The sequence below is a fragment of the Homo sapiens genome, chromosome 13 (assembly GCF_000001405.40).
Source record: "Homo sapiens chromosome 13, GRCh38.p14 Primary Assembly".
Classification (NCBI taxonomy): Eukaryota; Metazoa; Chordata; class Mammalia; order Primates; family Hominidae; genus Homo; species Homo sapiens.
Genome location: NC_000013.11, coordinates 99,122,693 through 99,150,032, shown reverse-complemented (window position 1 = coordinate 99,150,032; position 27,340 = coordinate 99,122,693). Strand labels below are relative to the sequence as shown.

Genomic DNA, 27,340 nt, shown 5'->3' with positions numbered 1-27,340 from the left:
CCTCCCGAGAGGCTGGGATTACAGGCTCCTGCCACCACACCTGGCTAATTTTTGTATTTTTAGTAGAGACGGGGTTTTGCCGTGTTGGCCAGGCTGATCTTGAACTCCTGACCTCAGGTGATCCACCTGCCTCGGCCTCCCAAAGTGCGGGGATTATAGGTGTGAGCCACTGTGCCCAGCCAAGCCTTTCTAAACAAATGAAAGGATACTCAGTCTCACTCTAATAACAAAAATACAAATTCAAAGTTGAATGAGATGCAGTTGACACTTAGAAAATTGGAAAAATTCAAAAAGTGTAAAAATGCCTGGATGGTGATGAGGGGGCCTGGTACCATTGGTTCATTCTCTTTGGAGGGCAATTTAAAAAGCACCAACCAAATTTTAACAGGCATATGCTCTTTGACTTGGCAGTTCTACATTTAGGAATGTGTCTTACAGATATATTTGCACATGAACATGAAGATGCAAATGCACGTTGCAGCAACAAAAGAAACCAGCCAAATGCCCATTGGTAGGGGCTGGGTAAGTTAATTCTGGTACGTCCATAGAGTAGACAATCCAACAGTGAAAAGAATGAAACAATATTACTTGGCATGGATAAGATAAATTTTCTAGAGGTATCATTAAATTATAAAAAGCAAGATGCAGAAGATACAAGATGCTATCGTATACAAATGTGGGTAGGGATGTACACACATACATTACATCTATCGCTTGCATATGCATAGATTGTTTCTGGGAAGATATGTAAGAAATTTAACAGTGGTTGTCTCTGGAAAGGTGATGTGAGAATTTGGAGTAAAGGAGAAGAAATCTACTTTTTCCTGTATTTCCTTTTATGATGTTTTAATTTGTACCATATTTAAGAATGACCTATTTTTACAAAACTGTTAAGACAAAGAGAAAAGAACTGGTAGGCCAGGCGCAGTGGCTGAACGCCTGTAATTCCAGCACCATGGGAGGCTGAGGCGGGTGGATCACTTGAGGTCAGGAGTTCAAGACCAGCCTGGCCAACATGGTGAAACCTTCTCTCTATTAAAAGTACAAAAATTAGTCAGGTGTAGTGGGGTGCACCTGTAATCCCAGCTACTCAGGAGGCTGAGGCAGGAGAATCACTTGAACCCAGGAAGCGGAGTTTGCAGTGAGCCAAGATCACACCACTGCACTCCAGCCTGGGCCAGAGAGTGGGACTCCATCTCAAAAAAGAAAAGAAAAGAAAGGAACTGATTATATGCAGTCATTTTAAAGGAAAATATTAGTAATACTTTTCTAGAAAATGTGAGGTTTTACTTAGATTGTAAAAATTCCACTTCTATTACATCTTTTCCTTTTCAGAATTATTGTGTATAAACTAATACTTCAAGTCTAGCCAACATGGAGAAACCCTGTCTCTACTAAAAATACCAAAATTAGCCGGGTGTGGTGGTGGGCACCTGTAATCCCAGCTACCCGGGAGACTGAAGCAAGAGAACTGCGTGAACCCGGGAGGTGGAGGTTGCAGTGAGCCAATATCACGTCACTGCACTCCAGCCTGGGCGACAGAGCGAGACTCCATCTCTTACTAAACAAATACATATATACCAATACTGCAGACAAAATAATAGCTAACATTTGGTGGGTGTTTATTCTGAATAAACACTGTGCAAAGTGCTTCAAAATAACAGTACTAGCCCAGGCACAGTGGCTGATGCCTGTAATTTCAGTACCTTGGGAGGCTGAGGCAAGAGGATCACTTGAGCCCAAGAGTTTGAAGCCAACCTGGGTAACATAGTGAGACCTTGTCTCTTAAAAAAAATTCAAAATTAGCCAGTCATGGTGGTACACGTCTATAGTCTTAGCTACTCAGGAGGCTGAAGCAGGCAGGTTGCTCCAGCCCAGGAATTCAGGTTGCAGTGAGTTATTATCGAGCTACTGCACTCCAGCTTGGGCAACAGAGCGAGAGAGACCTTGTTTCTAAATAATAATAATAGTAATAACAACAGTACTGCCCTCATCTCTTCATTAAAGATGAAGAAACGAAAGGTCAGAATTTAATGGGCTTACCTTAAGGCCACACAGCTAGTAAGTTATAGAGCCAGGATGCACATCTAAGCACTCTGACATCAGAGCCCACATGCTTACCCACCGTATGGGTTATTTATGGTGTTATTAATGAGTCATTTGTTTCTTGCAAAACAATACTTAAGGGCATATAATTTCCAATTCAAAACAGGTACGTAGCAGAAATAGAATCTAACCTTAACTATAGAAAATAAAAGTGCAAATGTTGTAAAATCCATAAGTCCCATATATAAAGTTGTAATAATATTTCTGATTTTATGGCCAATGATTCAGAGAAATTAAAAAATTATTTTAAGATATTTAGGCCAAGCATCGTGGCTCACGCCTGTAATTCCAGCACTTTGGGAGGCCAAGGTGGATGGACACCTGAGGTCAGGAGTTTGAGACCAGCCTGGCCAACATGGTGAAACCCCGTCTCTACTAAAAATACAAAAATTAGCTGGGTGTGGTAGCATATGCCTGTAGTCTCAGCTACTCGGAAGGCTGAATCAGGAGAATCACTTGAACCCAGAAGGCAGAGATTGCAGTGAGCCGAGATCGTGTCACCGCACTCCAGCCTGGGTGACAGAACGAGACTCCATCTCAAAAAAAACCAAAAATTATTTTAAGATATTTGAATAACAATTGGCAACTATGACTACTGTGTTATATACAGTGCATGCTATTTTTTGTGTTTATATTCTTGATCTTCATGAAATATTAATACATAAAATGTCTCAGGTTGCTGTTATGGGTTGAATTGTGCCCTCCCATTCATATGTTGAACCCCCAATACCTCAGAATGTCACCTTATTTGTAAATACTCTTTACAGAGGCAAATTAAAGTGAGGTCATTAGAGTGGGCCCTAATCCACTATGACTGGTGTCCTTATAAAAAGGAGACATTTGGACACAGAGACAGACATGCATAGAGGGAAGACGATGTGAAGAGACATAGAGAGAAGATGGCCAAGGGGAGAGAGACCTGGAACAGATTTTCCCCTCCCAGCCCTAGCCAATACCTGCCCCCGCACCTGTGACTGTGGCCTTATTTGGAACCAGGGTCTTTGCAGATGTCATCAAGCTAAGATGAGGTCATACTTATTAGAGTTAGGGTGGGCCATGAATCCAAGATGGCAGGTGTCCTTATGAAAAGAGGGATCAGGACACAGGAAGAATACCATGGGAAGACAGACGCAGAGGCGGGAGGGACGCGTCTAGAAGCCAAGGAACAGAAGGACTGATGGCAACACCAGAAGCAAGAGAAAGGCCTGGAACGGCTTCTCCCCTCGAGCCTTCAGAGGGAGCCTGGCCTGCCGTACACCTTCCTGCGGGACTCCAAGCCTGTAGAACTGGGAGAGAATACATTTCTGTGGTTTGAAACCACCCAGTATGTGCAGTGGATTCCCTAGAATTTGATTGGCGTGGGAGTGACTTGCTAAGGGGGTGCCCACTATTGAAGCCACCAAGGGACTAGGGAGGTGGACAGAGCAGCCGCGGGAGCCTCAAAAGGGGCGAGCTAGGCCAAGTCCCACAGCCGGCAACATAGAGTGGGCGTCCCAGGCGAGGGCGCTGGGCTTCCTGCCCCAGCACCCCATTGGTCAGGTCACAGGTTTTAGACTACCCCCCAGTGCTAGATGGTGGTTCTCCACAGAAAAGCAGCAGACGTCACTTTTGAAAATCAAAGAAATCCCGAAGGGAATCTACAAAAACAGTAGAAAGGGATCCGAGGGAACAGAGGCAAAGCCATAATATCACCCAATACATCCGATTGTCTGGTCAGTGAAATTTGGAGCCAAGAACACTGGCTGCTGGTTTCCTGTCCCGTGGTTAACTTATTGGTGTAATTTTGAAAGCATAACTTTGCGTCTCGGGCCTCAGTGAACTCTTCTGGTAAAAGGAGATAATAATAATAGTTTCGCAATTTTTTTTTTTTTTGAGACGGAGTCTCACTCTGTCGCTCAGGCTGGAGTGCAGTGGCTCGATCTTGGCTCACTGCAACCTCTACCTCTGGGGCTCAAAGTGATTCTCCTGCCTCAGCCTCCTGAGTAGCTGGGACTACAGGTGCTGGCCACTATGCCTGGCTAATTTTTGTATTTTTAGTAGAGAGAGTTTTGCCATATTGGTCAGATTGATCTCAAACTCCTGACCTCAAGTTATTTTCCCCCTTCAGCCTCCCAAAAGTGCTGGGATTACAGGCATAAGCCACTGCACCCGGCCTGCATTTTTCTTCTTCTTCTTCTTTTTTTTTTAAAGAAAACGTTCACTTTTCTGGGCTGATATTCAGCTTGTATTTATGGCTATAGCTAAACATTGATTGTCGAACTATATAAATAGTCCTGTACTGAGTGGTAAACAGCCACCACCCTGGGGGCCCCAGATATTTTCCACTGCTTTGGTTCCTTCCCTGGAATTTCCTTGGACTTTCCTATAATCCAGTAACTAGAGTGCCTGGCACAGCTGGGGGTGCTTTTCAATGCTATGGCCAGTGCTCTTTCTAATTGGTCAGTTGCTAAAGATTTTGACTGTCGTCCCCAGGTTAAGCACCTGTTATGTACCTAGTCGTGATGGAACTGTGAGCAACAGGAAAAAAAAAAAAACATTTCCTGCCTTCAAGAGGCTTATAACTTAATTGAGGAGGAAACAAATACAGATTAAATAACTAGGAATAATTATGTGCTACACTCTGCTGTCCTGACATGTAAAAAGTGAACGTTTTCTGGAAGAACAATTATAAAAACATTACACAAGGGTATGGTACTTACCTCCCCCTTTCCCAAATGGTTGGGTTCACCCATGACCCTTAGGTTTTGGTAAGGCTCCAGGATATCCAAATTTAAAAATCAGGCTGGGAGCGGTGGCTCATGCCTGTAATCCCAGCACTTTGGGAGGCTGAGGCAGATAAATCACGAGGTCAGGAGTTTAAGACCAGCCTGGCCAACATGGCGAAACCCCTTCTCTACTAAAAATACAAAAATTAGCTGGGTATGGTGGTGTGTGCCTGTAGTCCCAGCTACTCAGGAGGCTGAGGCAGGAGAATCGCTTGAACACAGGAGGCAGACGTTGCAGTGAGCTGAGATCACACCATTGCACTCCAGCCTGGACAACAGAGCGAGACTCTGTCTCAAAAAAAAAAAAAAAGAAAAAAGAAAAAGAAAAATTCATCAGTCAGTTGTTTTGTTCTGCAAGACTCCCCACTTTTACCATCTTTTTCACAAATTAATGAGCTCTTTTGATAATATGCCAGGAACTTGTAAAATTCTGTACTGTCTATTTTCTGTAACAGGATCTGTGGCATGTTAGTTTTCAGCAAAAAGAGACTTTTTCAAAGGAAAAATCAATGAACCAATGTGAAGGCACTCACGATTTTCTTAGGTGTGTTCCAAGCCACATTGGTGGAAAAAGGGAAGAGACGTTGGTGTGAGACAGGCAATCTTCCCCAAGGAAGGCTTTGAAAAGTCAATTCAGTTCCGCTTTGGGGTTAGAGCTTGACCACAGACAAGAAGACGATGACATTTTAATGAAACCACACTGATTGACCATCTGGGTTGCAGTTGGCCCAAACTGCTTACCTCAGTTTCAATTTTCTGAGATACAAAATATGACCCAAACCTACCAAAGATGATCGCCTAATTGATGGTGTTCTCAAAACATACTGAGATCCATGGATGACAATTGCCGCTACAGAATAATTAATTAGAGCCTAAGACTAGATTTAGGATAATAAATAATAGCTATTGGGAGAGAGATTCCTATTTTTCTTTTCCTGATTTTTTTTTCTTTCTTTTTTTTTTTTTTTTTTTTTTGTGAGACATGGTCTCACGCTGTTGCCCAGGCTGGAATGCAGTGGCACAATCATGGCTCACTGCCACCTCGACCTCCTGGGCTCAAGTGATCCTCCCACCTCAGCCTTCTCATTAGTTGGGATTACAAGTGTGTGCCACCACACCCAGCTAATTGGTTAGTTGTTTCGTAGAGACAGGGGTCTTACTATGTTGCCTAGGCTAGTCTTAAACTCCTGGCCTCAAGTGGTTCTCCAGCCTCCGTCTCCCAAAGTATTGGGATTACAGGCATGAGCCACAGTGCCTGGCCTCTTCCTGGTATTTTAAATGGACTTTTGAATTGTTTTATGTACAAAAGATTTGTTTTCACCTATATTTAATTATGAGTTATCCAATGAGTAGCAATATAAGTGCTTGAAATACAGCAGCTCATTTTTTTTCTACAGAAACTGTAGAGTTTACAACTCTTTGACATTGCTCTCATGGGGAGGTGGGGTCTAGAGCCTCTCTCCTTATATCTCAGTGGGATGTGTATTAGTTTCCTAGGCCTACCTCAGCAAGTGACCACAAACTAGGGGTGGCTTTACACAATGAAAACATATCTTCTCATAGTTCTGGAAGTCCAAAGTCAGGTTAAGAGCAGGATTGGTTCCTTCTGGAGGCTCTGGGGGAAAATCTCATTCCCCACCCCTTCGCTTATAGACTCCTCACTCTAATCTCTGCCTGTGATCTCTGTCTCTGATCTCTGATCTGTCTTCACATGGCGTCCTCCCTGTGTCTTTGTCTGTGTGTCCAAATTTCCTTCTCTTATAAGGCCATCAGTCATACCGGGTTAGGGGGTGGATTCATCTGAGTGCATTCATCTTCACTTGATTGCACCTACAAAGGCTATTTCCAAAGAAATCACATTCACAGGGACCAGGGGTTAGGACTTCAACATGTCTTTGTAGGGGACATAATTCATCCCTTAACAACCTGAGACTGCTTCAACCCGTAGAATGAGCAAAAGTGGCACTGGGTGACTCCCGAGGGCAGGTCAAAAAGGTGATGCCTCTTTGTCCTTGCCCACTGCCACCTTCTCACTCAGAGACTCGAGCGGCCACACATGGAGTTCAGCCAGTGAGAGAGGCCACCTGGTTGCCTGGGGTCAGCAGTCCAGGCCCTCGAGTCCTGCCAGGCCTGGGTGACACATGGGCGTGAAGGAGCCTTCAGGTGATTCCAGCCCTGCCTTCAGGTCGCCCCGCATTTGAGTCTTCCCAGTCAAGGTTCCAGATGTTGTGGAGCAGAGACAAGTTACTCTCACTGTCTGAATTCCTGGCCCCCAGTATCTGAGCATAAATAAAGTGGTGTTGTTTTAAGCCACAAATCCTGGGGTAATTTGTTACACAACAATTGTAACAGAAAAAGTAGGACTAGAGGCTCCAAAAAATCATCTTCAGCAGTGTTCAAACAATTTTTCTTATCTATTCCTTAAAATAATTTAGGAAAACTATGAACCTCTTCACATATTTTTATGTTGACATCTAATTTTTTTCATCCTACGTTGGCCATTTCTGGAGTATTATAAATATTGATGGTTTGATGCTTAAGCTGTTTATGTAACTTTTTCAGATATACCCACTGGAATGCAATTGCTGTATCAATTTAAAACTCACATCATCCATTTAAAAAATATAGATCATCATTAACATTTGGACAGTTCATGTTGTTTCTTTTTTCCTTTTGAATTCTTATTTCCTTCCACCTCCCACTTAGAAGTTTATCCTAAAGTTTTTTATGCTTGGATGTGTTTTATTGCTTACTCTTTCTTGATAGTTTGCAATAAAAATATGTATATGAATTTAACTTTCCATGAGTATAAAATTAAAAGTGTTAAACATTTCCCTTGGATGAAGCTGCTGTTATAATTATTCTTAGTCCAACATTGATTAAACTTACAAAAATATATTACAAACCTTGATAAATGATAATTGTTTGTTTGTTTGTTTTTGAGATGGAGTTTTGCTCTTGTTCCCTGGGCTGGAGCACAGTTGCATGATCTCAGCTCACCGCAACCTCCGCCTCCCAGGTTCAAGCGATTCTCCTGCCTCAGCCTCCTGAGTAGCTGGGATTACAGGCACCCACCACCACGCCTGGCTAATTTTTTTGTATGTTTAGTAGAAATGGGGTTTCACCATGTTGCCCAGGCTGGTCTCGAACTCATGACCTTGGGTGATCCACCTGCCTCAGCCGCCCAAAGTGCTGGGATTACAGGTGTGAGCCACCACACCTGGCCGATAAATGATAATTTTTAAAAGCATAATTTGATTGAAAATGTAGCACAAAACTGAAACAGCCTAGGTGTCCATCAATAGGAGAATGGATAAAAGAATTGTGGTATATTCATACAGTAGAATTCTACTCAGTGTTAGAAAGGAACAAATTACTTCTACATGAAACAACACAGATGAATCTTAGAAACATTATTCTGATCAAAAGCATCCAGATACAAGAGAGTACATATGGTATGATTCCATGTATATGAAGTTCAAAAACAGGTGAACTAATAATCTAAGGGGTAAGAACATCAGATAGTGGTTGCCTCTGGGGAGGAGTAGGAGCCAGGAGTAATTCAAAAATGGCATCAGAGGCTGGGCGCCGAGGCTCCAACCTGTAATCCCAGCACTTTGGGAGCCTGAAGCAGGTGGATCACCTGAAGTCAGGAGTTTGAGACCTGCCTGGCCAAGATGGTGAAATCCCGTCTCTATTAAAAATACAAAAATTAGCCAGGTTATCGGGGGAACCAGCTCCCAATATTTCAAGAGAAAGAGTACAAAGGGAGAAATTTTACAGCTGGGCCTCCAGGGGTGTCATCACATATTGGTAGGACCGTGATGGTGACCCAGAGCTGCAAAATCAGCAAGTTTTTATTAGGGATTTTAAAAGGGGAGGGGTGTACGAACAGGAAGTAGGTCACAAGGATCACATGTTTCAAAAGCCCATAAAGATCACAAGGCGAAGGCAAAATTAGAATTACTGATGAGGGTCTGTGTCCCACTGTGCATGCATTGTCTTGATAAACATCTTAACAGGAAACAGGGTTCAAGAGCGGACAACTGGTCTGACTAGAATTCACCGGGCTGGAATTTCCCAATCTAGTAAGCCTCAGGGCACTGCAGGAGACCAGTATTTCAGTCCTTAGCTCAATCGCATAAGACAGACGCTCCCAGAGCAGCCGTTCATAGACCTACCCCCAGGAATGCAGTCCTTCCCCAGGGTCTCAATGATTAATATTCCCTGCTAGGAAAAGAATTCAGCGATATCTCTCCTACTTGTACATCGTCTATAAGCTTTCTGCAAGAAGAAAAATATGGCTCTATTCTGCCCGACCCTGCAGGCAGTCAGACCTTATGGTTATCTTTCCTTGTTCCCTGAAAATCGCTGTTATCCTGTTCTTTTTCAGGGTGCACTGATTTCATATTGTTCAAACACACATGTTTCACAAACAATTTGTACAGTTAATGCAATCATCACAGGGTCCTGAGGTGACATACATCCTCAGCTTATGAAGATGACGGGGTTAAGAGATTAAAGTAAGACAGGCATAAGAAATTATAAGAGTATTAATTTGGGGAACTAACAAATGTCCATGAAATCTTCACAATTTATGTTCAGAGATTGCAGTAAAGACAGGTGTAAGAAATTATAAAAGTATTAATTTTGGGAACTAATAAATGTCCATGAAATCTTCACAATTTATGTTCTTCTGCCGTGGCTTCAGCCGGTCCCTCCGTTCGGGGTCCCTGACTTCCTGCAACACAGGTGTGGTGGCACCTGCCTGTAATCCCAGCTACTTGGGAGGCTAAGGCAGGAGAATCTCTTGAACCTGGGGGACAGAGGTTGCAGTGAGCCAAGATCATGCCATTACACTCCAGCCTGGGCAACAAGAGTGAAACTCCGTCTCCAAGAAAAAAAGGGGGATCAGGGAACTTTTTGGGTGATGGTAATGTGCTGCGTGTCACCTCTGCACCCAGAATTTGGGTTACACAGATGACTGAAGTTGTCTAAATGGCCCACTTAAGATGTGAACATTTCACCATTTATATATAACCTTTAAATAAACTTCAGATATTCTCCCACTGAATATGACTATTACTCAGGCCATAGTAAATGCTGGTCTTCCAATAATTTTTCTTTAGTAGAAAAGGAGGGCTGGAAAGAGAGAGAAATTGTTTCAAAGGAAAACTATAACACCTATTACTAGATTCCAGCCCTGGGTTTTGTTTTTGCGTACAGATTGAATCATGAGTTATTTCTGGCTGCAAGAATCCAGGTTATAATTTTCTTCATGTTTTTAGTTGGCACCCTAATGGAATAGATTCCTTCTTCTGTTCTGACACACACGTTCTCTTTTAATTGTCAAATTGTTAACATTACTTATCTCTCATAGTTTTACTTCATGCAAGAACACCAGAATCATGGTCTTCTGAAGACTAGAGATGATTTGACAAAGCCTGTGCGTCTCCTGTACTTGGAATCCCACTTGGCCTGATCTGTTTTTCACTGCAAATACCCAGCTACTAAAACCGTACAGGCACCCTCCCTCTGGGCCCGGGGACTATCATGGAAGAGGTGGGTGCATGAGATTGTAAGGGCTGGTTTTGAGGGACAGAATTAGTTCAGACCCTCCAAATCAAGGATGGGTACACAGATGTCTAAACAGCTGGTGAAATAAGGGACTTTACCTCCTGGATTTTTATGGTGTGGCACCTTTTCACTCGTCCCAACCATGAAGAATTTTCTGCTTCACATAGAATTAAAATAAAATTATTACTGAGAGGATATAAGGATACCTCATGACAAAACCTCCCGGGAATAATACTCCTACTTATGAGATTTATGAAGATAGATATGTATTTAAAAAATTTTTTTTCAGCAGGGCTCAGTGGCTCACGCCTATAATCCCAGCACTTTGGGAGGCCGAGGTGGGTGGATCACCTGAGGCCAGGGACCAGCCTGCCAATATGGTGAAACCCCATCTCTACTAAAATTACAAAAAATTAGCCGGGCCTGGTGGCATGCGCCTGTAGTCCCAGCTACTCCGGAGGCTGAGTATCGCTTGAACCCAGGAGGCGGAGGTTGCAGGGAGCCAAGATCGCACCACTTCACTCCAGCCTGGGCGACAGAGCGAGACTCCATCTCAAAAAATAAAAAATAAAAAATTTCAGCCACCTTAGGACAAATTACTAAAAGACCCCAAAAAGCATTGTGACACAACAAAGTCTCTAAATTCCTTAGCCTAAAAGGTTTTAACAATGCTTATGTGTTGAATAGCTAACTGCTACGAGTCCATAACAAAAACCAAGATTACAGTAGCTCAATGCATGGAAGTTAAAGACAGATAAAGTCAATTTTGTAACCTCACTTTTGGCTTTTTGTTTGTTGGCTTTTGTATTACTTTAAAATTGTTAAGAGGTAATGAATGCCTGTCCACGTCCTTTCCTATATGGCCTAGAACGTATAATTGGCTATAAGTCTCCTGGCTCTAAGTCCATTGGCCATGGATGAGGGCATCACACAGAAGAACAGGATGGACTTGGGTCAGGCAGCCATGCCACCCCAGCAACTCTATGGGACAAAATAAAAGCTTGGTGGCCATTAATGTTGCCTCTGGCAAATCTTGGCCAGAAGGGGGAGAATGCAAACCAAAAATAAAATTCTAAGCCCCCACCCATCTGAATGGACACCTCATTTCGGCAAAGATATTCCAAAGTTAACCTGAAAAATGAGTTCAGGCCACGATGGGAAGAGGGAATCGGACATGCCTCATTATTCCCTCCTCCCTTTTGGAATTACTGACAGAACAGACTCTTTAAGTCTGATAAGAAATATTTATAATCTACCGTCTCTGAAGCCTGATACCTGGAGGCTTCACCTGCATGTTAAAACTTTGGTCTCCAGGCCGGGCGCGGTGGCTCACGCCTGTAATCCCAGCACTTTGGGAGGCCGAGGCGGGTGGATCACGAGGTCAGGAGATGGAGACCATCCAGGCTAACACGGTGAAGCCCCGTCTCTACTAAAAGTACAAAAAATTAGCCCGGCGTGGTGGCGGGCGCCTGTAGTCCCAGCTACTCGGGAGGCTGAGGCAGGAGAATGGCGTGAACCCAGGAGGCGGAGCTTGCAGCGAACCAAGATCGCGCCACTGCACTCCAGCCTGGGCGACAGAATGAGCCTCCGTCTCAAAAAAAAAAAGAGAAAGAAAATGCATCTCTTACTGAGATGAGTGGGAATTTCTCAACCAGTTCATGTATCCAGAGAATATTAATTCTTGGTAGACTTAACACTAGGTTTAGCACCAATTACATGCCGATTATTTTTTAAATGTAAGCACCGAGAAAACATACAGACATTAATTAAGTAGATGGGGAAGGAAGCATTTTGCCATAGCCTTGACCTTCAATTCTTTGAACCCCTTCTGAGTTATGTCCCCCACCACACAAATATTTATCATCTAAAATAATTTGTAATGATTTATCAGCTGAAACTTTGGTCTTCCTTTAATTTGGTTGTATGCAAAGAAAAAGCAACTACCTGACGTAATGATTTTTTTCAACCACATCAATAGAATCATCCCTCTTTTAACACCAATTAGCATTTCAAAAATCCCTTTATTTAATGCCCCGGAAGTTATTTCACCCCTGCAATGCACCATAGGACGGTTCAGGATGGTGAGAGGCTCCCGTTCTTCAGTAAGTGGAGAAGGGACTGAGAGCGAAGAGCTGGGAAAGGAGACCCTGACCTCAGAAAGGAAGCTGAGATCCTGGGAAGTGATTCCCTCTACACTTAGCCCATGTGTTTGAGCCACAGCTTACCCATGTGTCCCTCAAAGACAGATAACCCAATTTGAAGAATGCTGCTTTCAAGGGTCCTTTCTGGCCAGGTGTGGTGGCTCTTACCTGTAATCTTAGCACTTTGGGAGGTCGAGGTGGGAGGATCACTTGAGCCCACAGGAGTTCAAGACCAGCCTGGGCAACATAGTGAGACCTCGTCTCTATAAAAAACAAAAAAGAATCCTTTCAGTATGTGTAGGGCAAGACTATAAGGCCAAAGACTGAGTCAGATTCCTTCACTCCTGTGTGTATACAGAAACCCTGCATTTTAACATGACACCTTCCTGGATACTGCATCCCCCAAAAAAGGCATGGTGTTTATCTTTAGAAACAATGCTATAACTGTAGGTTCTCTTGCTGGTCAAGGACTTGTTGGACAATATATGCCAAAAGCAAACGTATGAAGCCATGATCCTTCAAAATCCCCTGTACTCACTCTGTAATTGGACTCCAGGGTTTAGGAAATTAGGGGACATATATGGGGCTGGCCCCTGGACCATTCCCAGCCCAGCCATAGCAGACCACTATGATCCAGCTGGAGAGGGGCAGTGCCAAGCCTCATGCCTGCAGGGTGAGACTGTGCAGGTCAGAGGGCCAATGTGCAGAGCCCCTCGGTCGTCACATCCCCAGGGGCAGGTCAAGTCTGGGAAAGACCTGAAGTCAGGCAGGCTATGGGGACAGGAAGGCTGCAGAAGGGGTGGCCACTGTGTCCTGGAGTGCTCTGAGCAGCGTGCCCTGGCCTGCAGGGGACCTTCAGGGCAGCTGTCTAGCCCAATGACTATGAGGAGTTTGGGTACCTGTGAGCTGCCTGCAGAGCCCGGCAGGGTTCAACGGGGCTTTTGATCTGTAGCACTAGGGAGTGTCTGGCATATAGGAAGGGCTCAACCACTAATGTCGTCTGGCTGAATACACGAGTGAATGGTTGAATGAGGGAATGCAAGGCTCGCCTTGCTGATGCTGGAGCAGTTTTCACTGTGACGGACTCCCAGAGACTCTGGATGTCCCTCCTCACCTGTGATGCTGATGCGATCATGCCTTTGGATCTACCCTTCCGACTCAACTGGCGCCTTTCTACGGTGTCTGCTTCAGGCTCACTTTCAGGCTTTGCACTGTATTCCAGGCGGCTTTGTGCTTTCATTATGTGCCTGGCTCCTGCAGCTTTGCTGACACAGGTATCTTGAGCACTGTGGTGACCCTGCCAGGCCTCCCTTCCCAGCACAGAGCCCATTCCTGGCAACATAATGTGCAATGTGGCCCATGGAGACGGGCTTCCCTGGTCAGCAGCCTTTCCACTGGTTCCCAAGCCTCTGGACAATTGTTCATTCTCAGGTGCTAACTTCTGCTTGTCCTGCAACTTCTGGAACATAGCACTGACCCCAGGCCACTTTCATTCATCCATTAATTTTTTCCACTTAATACAAATTTACGAGCTGAGGTCTGACAGATATTGAGCCATGTGTGAACTTTGGGTTGCTGTGTAGTTGCACAAACTGAACTGCTCGAAACAACACAGATGTATCTTCTCACAGCCTGTATGTGTCCGAAGTCTGGGAACAGCATATGTGAGTTCTTGCTTAAGATCTCACCAGGCTGCAATCCAGGTGTTGGCCAGGACTACAGGCCCTCAGAGGCATGACTGGAGGAAGATCTTTTTCCAAGCTTCCTCAGGTTGTTGAAAGACTTCATCTTCCCAAGGAGTCCCACTTCCACAGGAAGGAGGTTTTCTTGCTGGCTGTTGGTCGGGTGTTGCTCTCAGCTCCTGCAGCCCTCTGGCAGTCCCTTGCCACTGGCCTCCTCCATGTGCCACTCATAGCATGGCAGCTGCTGCTTTTTCTTTTATTTGTTTTATTTTTTATGCTTAGAGACAGGATCTCACTCTGTTGCCCATGCTGGAGTACAGTGGCCCAATCATAATTCAGTGTAGCCTCAAATCCCTGGGCTCAAGCAATCCCCCTGCTGCAGCCTCCCGAGTAGCTGGGAGTACAGGCACGTGCCACCATGCCATGCTACTTTGCTTCTTTTTTTTTTTTGAGACTGAGTCTCGCTCTATTGCCCAGGCTGGAGTGCAGTGGCATGATCTCGGCTCACTGCAACCTCCACCTCCCAGGTTCAAGCAGTTCTCATGCCTCAGCCTCCCAAGTAGGTGGGATCACAGGCATCCACCACCATGCCTGGCTAATTTTTGCATTTTTAGTAGAGACAGGGTTTTACCATGTTGGCCAGGCTGGTCTCGCACTCCTGACCTCAGGTGATCCGCCTGCCTCGGCCTCCCAAAGTGCTGGGATTACAGTAGGCCACCACACCCGGCCTACTTTGCTTCTTCTAAACCAGCAGTGGAAAGAGTATCTAGCACGTGCTAGCAAGTCAAAAACATTATATATTTATTTGGCGATACACACACCCTGTACATATAAACTCACAGGAATGACATCCCTTCACCTTTGCCATAATCTATCAGAAGGAAGTCTCAAGTCCCACTCATGCCCATGTGGAGAGGACTATACAGGGCACAAACATGAGTGCCACCCGATGGTCTGTTGGCCACAAAGTCTAAGTGCAGAAAGTCTTGAACACCAAAATAAAGAGTTTGGACGTTTTACTACAGTCAGTGAAGCTACTTTTGAGCAATGGAGGATGAAAATGGAGGATGGACTAACATCAGTGTGTAGGAAAGACGGGTATTGGGAGAAGACAGAGGTGGGTGGAGAGAAAGGCACCCCGATGAAAGAGAAAGAGGATCTGGCCAGCACTGGTGGTGTGGGAAGGAGGCATAGATCTGGGGACACCACAGAAGTAGAATCAAATGCACTCACCGATACTTGGCCAAGGCAAGTTGCTGATACAGCAACCGTAGGTCCCGGATTTTCTGGAATGGACACATTTCCAAGCATTCTTATCAGAGTATATGTCTCACATTGGAGCTTAGCTAATGTGCCCTCAGCGTTGCAGTACGCTGAGGGGCATTGTCCCCTGTGTCTCAGCCAGAGGGGTGGAATCTGCTTTCTCCCTTATTTTGGAGCCTGTTTTCCCCCTTATTTTGGAGCCTGTTTTCCACTGCCTGGCCTCTTCTCCAGTCTCATTTTTTAAAATCTTAGACTGATGCCCATGAAGGATTTTTATACCTTGGTGACCTCCAACCATGGCCAAGCCTGCTTTCTACATTCACACAAAAACCTTCATGCATCTACAAACACACACACATGCCCTTTTGCACACACATTATCCTCTGTAACACATCATCTTACTTGCTTGATTTTCCAAGCATGGTTCTGGTTGAAATGGCCTGGGCTTCCCATTTATCACCATGGCCCGGTCCTCAGCTGGGTGCCATTGTTGCCTCTTCCCTGCCCCTTGCCTAAGCCCAGGGGGCTCATCACAGCTCCTCCAGCTCCGTGCTCAGGAGCTGTTGGTGCCTGGCGAGCTCTAAGGCTTGAAAATTATGTGCTGGCCCTGACCCCATGATGAGAATTAGAGCTGACAGTTTTCTGGAAAACAAAAAAAATCTGTTACTTTTCCTGTTATATCTTCTCCCCATAGAATCTTCCCAGGGAATTTCTAAGTTGGTTAAAACCCACCTGACTGAATTCCATATTCTTCACAGCACTGATTTTTCTCCTTCCTTACTCAGACTTCCACCTCACTGCTTTGGTGATAAGGCCAAAGGGACAAGTAGCAATGAAAAAAAAATCGAATAAACTTTAAAAAATGAGTAAATACAGTTCATAGCTCTTCCTTCTTATTAAACAACATGGTACCCTTCATTTCTCTTTGCCCCAATCACCCTTTTAATTCAGCCAGAAGTGCTCCTCTGCCTTTTGGCTGTGAAAGCTTTTACTTCTTCTGGTGCTATTCTTTTCATTCTGCTGTCTGAGTTTTCCAGCACTGTCTTCTGAGAGGGCATTATAGGAAGTGGGGGTGGCAGCAGGTCAGTGTGTCACATGTCACATTCCAAGCCTCCTCTGGCTTGACAGCCAGGAGACCTACAGTTATTACTGAACTTCATATGATCAAACTGAGCAAACTGGCAAAAAATATGTGCAGTTTCTTGGGGGATATTTTAGACATTACGGCTTAGCCAAACTTGTTCCATCTTCCCTGGAAAGTGTTACAGAAGATAAAACAACAGTAAATATGGATTTTTCCAAGCTATTATTTGTTATATCAGTCTGTGACTTTTAGGTTACCTTCCTACTCCTCTTGTTAACATTTCAATTAATTGTGTTAATCAACTCAGTAAAGATTTGGTTTGTAATGATGGATATGTATCACCTACCTCCTAGGGACCAGCTTTAGTTTTCAATCTAATATTTATTTATTTAGGAACTGGCTGTTTTGAGCATTTGTGTATTTTGTCTGTGGCTCATTTCTCTAAGGCTAGATTCTTTTAAAACACTGAAGTACAAATGAGGACAGTTATATAATCAAACGATGGTTTGATAACAGGCACAATGGGCATTAGCCACAAAATGTGCATTTGAAGATCAGACAGCAAGACAGAGAGAAAATAGACTGGAACCAAAAAAGGAACACAGCCTCAGGGACCAGTGGGGCTGTAACAAATGTAACAGTGACATCCATGTCACTGGCATCCCTGACCTTTGACCAGTGGGAGCTGGAGAGCACATACTACTCCTTCTGAAGGGCTTTCTGAGATCCAGTGGTCTACACCACCTGTCTGAACACCTGACCTTTGACCAGTGGGAGCTGGAGAGCACCTACTACTCCTTCTGAAGGACTTTCTGAGATCCAGTGGTCTACACCACCTGTCTGAACACATCCCAGGAGACCAAGCATTCAGTTGTGCTTCTTAGGAAGCTGCAGCCAGCTGGCTGGGCCTCTGTGCCTGCTCTCCCTCCTCCCTGCTTCAGACTCCTCTCCCTTCAAACTGCTTCCTGGAGACCACACTCCCCATTGACCTGTTACTGCATCAGATTTGATTCTGTTTTCTAGCAAGCCCATCTCTTTTTATGCTTCTGAATCCTGTTATTTATCCTCATTATGTCTTCTCATTTTTCCCCTCATGATTGGCATCTCTTTGTACATTTTCTGTCTTTTAAGCCTTTTTCTATTTGTCTTCTATACCACCATTTTGTCTTTTAATCTTTTAGTTAAACCTTTTTCAGCTCCAGAAAGTTTGTGTGTATGTGTGTGTGCGTGTGCCATAGTCAAATTCTGTTATGAGCTCTTATATTTTAGTTGAAGTTTTTGTCTGTCTTCTCTAACAATTTTATTTCCCTAAAACCTATCTATTGTGGGTATTCTTTTTTTGATGTTTTTCTGAGATGGAGTCTCTCTCTGTCACCAAGACTGGAGTGCAGTGGCAGTGGCACAATCTTGGCTCACTGCAGCCTCCGCCTCCTGGGTTCCAGTGATTCTCCTGCCTCAACCTCCCCAGTGCCTGGGATTATAGGCATGCACCACCATGCCTAGCTAATTTTTCTATTTTTAGTAGAGACGAGGTTTCACCATGCTGGCCAGGCTGGTCTTGAACTCCTGACCTCAGGTGATCTGCAAACCTTGGCCTCCCAAAATGCTAGGATTACAGGCGTGAGCCACCATGCCCAGCCTATTATGGGTATTCTGATTATGTTTTCTCTGTTGCTACTGTGTCACCTTAAGTTATTTGTATTCGTTTCCTATGGCTGCTGTAAAAGATTACAACTTTGTGACTTCAAATGACACAAATTCATTGTCTCATGATTCTGGAGATCAGAAGTCCTAAAATCAAGATGTCAGCAGAATTGCATTCCTCCTGGAGGCTCTCGGGGAGAATCCATTTCCATGCTCTCTTCAGCTTCTTTCTAGAGGCTACCTGCCTTCCTCGGCATGCAGTCCCTTCCTCCATCTTCAAAGCACTCACTCCAACCTCTGCTTCTGTTGTCATATTTCCCTCTTTGACTCTGACCTTCCTAGTCTTCTCTTATAGGAACCCTGTGATTACACTTAGGGCCTACCTGGATTATTTAGAACAATCTCTTATCTCAAGATTTAAAGTTATATCTGCAAAGTGCCTTTTGTCATAGAAGGTAATACATTCATGGGTTCCAGGGATTAGGATGTGGACATTGTTGGGGTGGTATTATCAGTCTACCCCAGTACTTAAATGGAGGCCATCCTGTGAATGATGAAAGCAAGACAGTGTCTGCCCTGTTGACCTGCAGTGTGACAGGTGACATAAAATCAGTTCTCTATTGTGATGCTGTGTCATCTTCTGAGCTATGTGGGCTCATGTCCTCAGCCTCATCAGGAAAGCTGCATCAATCTCCTTCCTTCCCTTCTTCTCTAGCTCATTGGAATTCATGGATACCAGTAGGCTCTCCCCAAGATGCCTGTAAGGGATCAGAATTATTCTTCTTCTTGGCGGGGTGGGGGATCTATGATGGTTAATTTTATGTCAACTTGCCTTGGCCATGGTACCCAAACACTTGGTTAAATGCCAGTCTAGATGTGATATGCATGTATTTTTTAGATGGCATTAGCATTTAAATCAGTAGACTCTAAGTAAAGCAGCTTATCCACCATAATCTGGGTGGGCCTCATCTAATCACTGAAAGGCCTTAAGAAAAACATTGAGGGAATTCTGCCTCCAGGCTGTCTTCAGACCAGAGCGGCAACACCAGGTCTTCCCTGGGTCTCCAGCCTGCCCTGCACATTTCAGGCTCGCCAGCCCCTGACAATTGCATGAGCCAATTCCTTAGTGAACCATCCTATTGATTCTGTTTTTCTGGAGAACGCTGACTAATATGGGGTTTATGGATCTCCACAGACCAAACTCTCTCCAAGAAGGCTTCTCTGATCTTACCCCAGGGCTTTGCTGCTGGCCAGCCTCACCCCTCCGATCCGGCAGGGGGAAGGTCCTGGCCAACTCTAACAGAATGGTGGCAGAGCCCAAGGCCCCCTTCTGTATTCCAGATTCTTCTGGAGTTGATTGGAGTTCAGAAGAAACAGAACATCTGGATATTGAAGATGCCTTTTCCCCAAAGTTTCTCTTAAGATTCTTTTTATTTTGAATTGACTTTATTTTTTAGAGCAGTTTTAGGTTTACTTGCGACAAAGACACAGAGATTTCCCCTATGCTCCCTGCCCCCTACACATGCATAGCCTTCCCTGTTTTTAACATTCCCCTACCAGAGTGGTACATTTGCCATAATTGATGAGCCTACATTGACACATCGTCATCGCCCAAAGCCCGTAGTTGACATCAGGATTCACTCTCGGTGCTGTGGATTCTATGGGTGTGGAAAAACGTACAATGGCATGCATCCGCCATTATAGTGTCACACAGAGTAGTTTCACTGCCCTAAAAATCCTCTGTGCTCCCCTTCCTCTCTCAAACCTCTGGAAACTAGAATTGATTCTTGAACAACATGGGTTTGAACAGCATGGGCCCAATGATATGCATTTTTTTTCAATAAAAGTTGCACTAAGTATGCCTGCCTTCCCTTCCACCTCCTCTACCTTGCCACCTCTGCTACTCCTGAGACAGCAAGAGAAGTCCTCCCCTTCCTCCTCCTCCTCAGCCCACTCAGTGTGAAGATGTCAAAGATGAAGACCCTTATGATGACCCACTTTCACTTAATGAATACTAAGTATATAGTCTCTTCCTTGTGATTATCTTAGTAACATTTCTTTTCTCTAGCTTTCTTTATTGTAATATAGTATATAACATACAAAATATGTGTTAATTGACTATGTTATCAGTAAGTCTTCTGGCCAACAGTAAGCTACCCATAGTTAAGTTTGGGGGAGTCAAAAGTTATACATGGATTTTCTACTGCATGGAAGGTTGGCACTCCTAACTTTGTTGTTGTTCAAGGATCAACTATATTGATCTCTTTTTGTATCCATTGTTTGTCAGTTCCAAAATTTCATATAGTTGGAATTAGACAGTGTATAATCTTTTCAGATTTGTTTCTTTCACTCAGTAATATACATTTATGTTTCCTCCATGTCTTTTCATGGTTTGATAGCTCATTTCTTTTCAGCATTTAATAGTATGCCATTGCCTGGATGTACCACAGTTTACTTACCCATTTACTTACTGAAGTACAGCTTCTTTGCTTGCACGTTTTGTCATTATAAATAAAACTGCTATAAATATCCATGTGCAGGTGTCTGTGTGAACATAAGTTTCAACTCCTCTGGGTAAATATCGTATAGTGCAATTGCTGGATTGTATGGTAAAGAGTATGTTTAGTTTTTTAAGAAACTGCCAAACTGCCTTCCAAAATAGGTGTACAATTTTGCATTCCCACCAGCAATGCCACAATGCCTGAGAGATCCTGTTGCTCCACATCTTTGCCAGTATTTGGTGTTGCAGTGTTCCGGATTAAGGCTAACCTAATAGGTGTGCAGTGGTATCTCAGTGTTCTTTCAATTTGCATTTCCCTGATGAAACATGTTGTGGAAATCTTTTTTTTTGAGATGGAGTCTCACTCTGTCGCCAGGCTGGAGTGCAGTGGCACCATCTCGGCTCACTGCAACCTCCACCTCCCAGGTTCAAGTGATTCTTATGTCTCAGCCTCCCAAGTAGCTGGGACTGCAGGCACGTGCCACCATGCCCAGCTATTGTTTTTTTCTTTTTTGTATTTTCACTAGAGATAGGGTTTCACCATGTTGACCAGGCTGGTCTTGAACTCATGACCTCAGGTGATCCGCCTGCCTCGGCCTCCCAAGTGCTGAGATTACAGGTGTCAGCCACCGCAGCTGGTGGGAACATCTTTACGTATGCTTATTTACCATCTGTATATGTTCTGTGGTGAGATGTGTGTTAAGGTCTTTGGCCCATTGTTTATTCATGTTGTTTTCTTACAGTTGAGTTTTAAGAGTTCTTTGTGTATTTTTGATCACAGTCCTTTATCAGAGATGCCTTTTGCAAACATTTTCTCCCAGTCTCTGGCTTATCTTTTCATTCTCTTGACAATGTTTCACACAGAGCAGAAATTTTTAATTTTAGTGAAGTCCAGCTTATCAATTCTTTCTTTCATGAATTGTGTCTTTAGTGTTGTATCTAAAAAGCCATCACAAACATCACAAACCCAAGGTCACCTGGGTTTTCTCCTATGTTACATTCTAAGTTTTATATATTCTAGGATTTTGCTTTACGTTAAGGTCTGTGGTCCATTTTGAGTTCATTGTTGTGAAGGGTCTAAGGTCTGTGTCTAGATTCATTTTTTGGCATATGGATGTCCAGTCATTCCAGCACCATTTGTTTAAAAAGACTCTTTCCTCCATTGTATTGTCTTTGATCCTTTTTCGAAGATCAGCTGACCAATTTTATGTGGGTCTATTTCTGGACTCTCTATTCTGTTCTGGGAATTTATTTGTCTATTATTTTGTCAATACCACACTGTCTTGGTTACTGGAGCTTTATGGTAAGTCTTGTCAGGTGATGTCAGTCCTCCAACTTTGTTCCTCTCCTTCAATATTTTGTTGGCTATTCTGGGACTTTTGCCTCTCCATATAAACTTTAGAACCAGGTTCAAGCGATTCTCCTGCCTCAGCCTCCTGAGTAGCTGGGATTAGAAGCAACGCACCATCACGCCCAGCTAATTTTTGTATTTTTAGTAGCGACGGGGTTTCACCATGTTGGTCAGGCTGGTCTCGAACTCCTGACCTCGTGATCCGCCCACCTTGGCCTCCCAAAGTGCTGGGATTACAGGCATGAGCCACCGCGCCCGGCCTAATTTTTGTATTTTTAGTAAAGACGGGGTTTCACCATATTGACAAGACTGGTCTCGAACTCCTGACCTCAGGTGATCCACCTGCCTCGGGCTCCCAAAGTGCTGGCATGAGCCGCCACGCCTGGCCCATATTTTGTTATATGTATACTTGAGTATTTAATTTATTGGTGCTAATATAAATGGTTTTATGTTTTTAATTTTAAGTTTCTCTGGATTCTTTTTGAGTCCAGTTTTATAATCCAGAGTTTTGTTCTCTTTACAGAATTTTATCATGCCCTGCTTTGATAACTTTGCATCTTATATCTTCACCCAGTGAAATGACAAACACATAAAATAAGTATGAGCCATGGATACATCCCAGAAACTGTTTCTTTGGTTTAGGATACAATGAATTTTTTATCTTAGTCTCTCATTTTTCTAAGATCCCATTTTTAAAAATAGGAAATTAAATTTACTTTTGTTCCAATTCTGCTTTAGGAAACTTGGTGTCCCTTTCATCATGGGTCTCAATTTTAACCAGAGGGGTCTCTCCCTCCATTTACTTCTTGAAATCGATGTTCTTCTTCAGGGTTACTCATAGTGTGACCTGCCAGATCTCCTGCCCCTGCACCTGCCCAGCCACCTCCTAATGGACTAATATGCGCCCCACTACAAGCTCAGCAATTTGAACTTCCCATGCTTAGCTTTGGGGCCAGTTCTGGCTTTAGCTGCAGGGATATTTAAAAGTTTAGTTCAATAGATGAAGTGAGTCCTCACCAAATCTGTTGTGTTGCTGTTTTTTCTTGAACCACAGTTCTAGTTCTAGTTCTAGTGACTGAATTCCTCACTGCCACTAAGTACACAGTTCCAAAGTCTTCTAGACTTACTTCTGGAGCCTGACAAGTGACTGTTCCTTTAGCCAGTACTGGGGCTTCCAGACATCATTGCTTCTGTTTTTTTTTGTTTGTTTGTTTTCAGTTTTTTTTTAAATTTCAATGGTTTTGGGAGTACAGGTGGTTTTTGGTTACATAGATGAGTTCTTTAGTGGTGAATTCTGAGATTTTAATGCACCCATCACCTGAGCAGTCTTTTATCCCTCACCTCGCTGCCAACCTCTTTCCTTGCATCCCCAAAGTCCATCACATCACTCTATATGTTTTTGCATCCTCATAGCTTAGCTCCCACTTTTGAGTGAGAACATACGATATTTGGTTTTCCATTCCTGAGTCACTTCACTTAGAATAATGGCCTCCAGCACCATCCAGGTTGCTGCATAAAGACATTTCATTCCTTTTTATGGCTGAGTAGTATTCCGTGGTGTATATATAGCACATTTTCTTTTTCTTACTTGTTGGTGGACACTTAGGTTGGTTCCATATCTTTGCAATTGGAAATTGTGCTGCTATAAACATGTGTGTGCATATGTCTTTTTCACATAATGACTTATATTCCTTTGGGTAGATTCCTGGTAGTGGGATTGCTGGATCAAATGGTAGTTCTCCTTTTAGTTCTTTAATGGTAGATCTACTTTTAGTTTTTCTTTTTTGTTTTGTTTTTTGTTTTGAGACAGTCTCGCTCTGTCGCCAGGCTGGAGTGCAATGGCGCGATCTCGGCTCACTGCAACCTCCGCCTCCCAGGTTCAAGTGATTCTCCTGCCTCAGCCTCCCGAGTAGCTGGGACTACAGGCGTGCACCACCATGCCCAGTTAATTTTTGTATTTTTAGTAGAGACAGGGTTTCACCATGTTGGCCAGGATGGTCTCGATCTGTTGACCTCGTGATCTGCCTGCCTTGGCCTCCCAAAGTGCTGAGATTACAGGCGTGAGCCACTGTGCCCGGCCTACTTTTAGTTTTTAGTGCTTGTCTGTTTGGATCATCACACATTACTTGCTCCCTGCTGCCAGGCCTCAGTCTGCGCTACACCCATATACTACTTATTTTCTAGACTTCCAAAGTGCTGGGCACCACCCAGTCCTCTGCCAGGCACGGTCCTCTCTGCAGGTGATCCGCTGCCTGTGTGGGGGTCTCCTCCCTCCAAGCAACCATTTTCACCCACAGGCATGTCTCAACTCCAGGTGCAGACCCCTCCCTGACTGTCCTGTTCCATCAACTCCGGTTCTGTTAAAAGGATGTGAACTTTACAGACTTCCCAGCAAGGCAGCTCCTTGGAGGCAGAGACCTCATTTGGAATACGCTCAACTATATTAAAATGTGATTTTGCTCAACCATATGAAACACTCAGTTGTTAGGACAAAAAAAAAAAAAAACCCTGCTTTTCACATTCCCATTTTACCTCTACAATGTATCATTTCATCAAACACCAATTCACAAATGGAACTTACATAGCTCGTTAACTACAGTGTTTTATTCTCTTATGAAAATATGTCAGAAAGATTTGAGAGTCTGGGACTGTGGTGAAGCCCCCATCAGCCCGGGCATATGGTGGGGGAGGTCAGGAACATTTTCTTCCAGCTCTCTTCAGACAGCAGCCAGACAGTTTTCAGCGCCTTTTTTTTTTTACCGTTTTGGTGACTCATTTCCTCACTTGAGACACAGAAATATGAATGCAGTGTCAACCAACCATAAAGGAGTGTTACGAGAGTTCTGGTCATGGAGTAATCATAATTGTATTTGGTATATGATTTGACCGTATTTATTCATAATATAATACTCTAGGGTTTGAACATCTTATTTTTGGTTCTGCTGTGAACTATATAGAACGTGATGGAAAATCACTCCCTGCACATTACCCTGGGCTGCAGTGTCCATAAAAGGCGATATGCTGGCTCAAGAAATTGAAATTGAATGATTTCATAACCAACCTGTGAGCCTCGCTTCCTCCTTCACATATGAAAGCACGTTGGCACAGAGGGGAGAAAATTTTTTTTTCATATGTTTCCACCTCACAGCTCCTTTTCTAGGTCTCCTAGTTGGAAAGACATTGATTTCTACGTGGGAAGACTTTTGCACCTGCAAGAATCCTTCACGGTCATATAGTGTCACCTCTCTCCCAAGGCAGAAATCCCATCTGCAATATTGATCAATGACCTGTCAAGGATGAATTAATTGAGTGCCTACTATGTGCTAGCTAGGCATTGTGCTGAGCCTCACACAATGGCAGACCCTGAGATAAGAATTCAAGTGCCAGGAATTTGAGAAAGGGTCCCGGAAAACACTGGAAATAGTGGACATGAGACAGAGAAGACAAGAAAGCCAATAAAGGATGCACATTATCAAGCAAATTACCACCATGGGCAGATAGAGCTCGATCCCACTAGAGAATTCTGAAAACCAAGACTCAGAATTCATCCAACCAAGGGGCCAGGGATCTGGGGTATTAATCCACCAATTCTCCATCTGTCATGGGTTCAGGCTGCTTTCAGGGGAATGAAATTTCCAGCATGTCTGGCTTCTCCATGCATGGGCACAGTGTGTTTTCAAGGTCAGAAAAAAAAAGGCTTTGAGTGGAGATTTTCAGGGGTCAGCTATAAGTAGAAGTGAATGCCAGTGGGAGGTGGGGCCACTGATACCATCTGCTACATTCAGGAAGACAGAGAATTAAGCTCTTCTCCCTACTTTTGATCTGAAGGAGCAAACGGGGACATTTGCTCCTTGAATCCAGTGGAATCCAAGGGGAAAGCCCTGGAGCAATGGAGGTGATGAGTTTGAACGAAGATGTACAAAACCTGAGTTAACTGAGCGTGCAGATGAGCAGAGAGAAGAAAAATGGCTCTAGATGACATCAGGCCATGACTAGTCATCAGTTGCCACATGAGGTTTTCAGGAATGACATGGAAATACCAGCTTTCCACAGCTGTCTGGCTCTCCCCAGGGAAATGGGAAACCCTGGTACAGAGTCGAACCTTGGGCAAAAGGGTTGGAAGGAAGCAGGTGATCTGGGCAGAGCTGCCAGCTCTTCCTCCTTCCCTGGGGAGAACTAGTTGAAAATGAGTGTAGGGAGCCTGGCAGGAGAGCCAGCAAGGCAGGCTAACCCCAGAGGTGTGTAAGTGCAAAGGCTTCACGGCCATGCTTTCAGCAGACCTGGCACTGTTCAGTGCTGTCACCCAAGCCAGCCGAGGCTGGCCTAAGCCCACTTGCTTGTGGGGAGGGGGAGCTCATGCCCCGCTGGCTATAGGTTTTTTGGGTTATGAAACTAGGCAGGGCTAAGCCTGGAAAAAGTCCGAAATCATTAGTGGAGTCTGCGGTGTGCTAGGGCAGGTGGAGGCAACTTTCCTCAGTAAGGCAGTTCGCGGCCAGTGCTGCGGTTGGTTGGGATGTTCTTTGGGCAGACTGAAGTCTACCTACCTTGAACTTTCCCTTCATTCTACTGCTGCCCTTTGGAATGCCCTGATGATTCCCAGGAAAGTTTTGAGAATACAGCACCTGGCCCATGCTGCTGATAAAGATTCCCTTTTGGATAGGTGTTTGTGGTTTGTGATGATGTAACTAATGATTTTGTTTCCCTGGTTTCAAGCTAGACTGTTCTAGTCCATATATTTCCAGGAAAACAACTCTGCCGTGGATACACGTAGGGTGTGTAGTGTGTTCCTGCCACGCTCCTCATCCCTGCCCTTTGACTTCCCATCTCGGGTTCACAATGCCAGGCACTGGCTCCAGCAGAAATGTCTTTCTCCTTTTCCTTGGCTCTTCCGTTCCATACCCACCACCAGGCTTTCCCTGTGTTGTAATGTCCACGCTTCTTAAAGGATTTTAAATGGACTCAACGTTTATTCGGATTATCTCTCATTGAAATACCCATATTTTACCACACTGTGAACCTGTCATATCAATAAAGAAGAGCTTTCAGCTGGTCGTGGTGACTCACCCCTATAATCTCAGAACTTTGGGAGGCTGAGGCGGGAGGATTGCTTGAGGCCAGGAGTTCAAGATCAGCCTGGGAAATGTGGCAAAACCCTGTCTCTACAAAATAAAAACTAAAATAGCATGTGCTTGTATTTCCAGCTACTTGGGAGGCTGAGGCAGGAGGA

General features: G+C 44.2%; 1 annotated feature.

Annotated features, from left to right (window-relative positions):
- Positions 24,865–24,964: an enhancer, noted in NCBI's record as "active region_7927". NCBI's record gives its function as "activates an Ori minimal core promoter by ATAC-STARR-seq in GM12878 lymphoblastoid cells {active_cell/tissue: GM12878}" and the evidence as "EXISTENCE:reporter gene assay evidence [ECO:0000049][PMID:35858748]".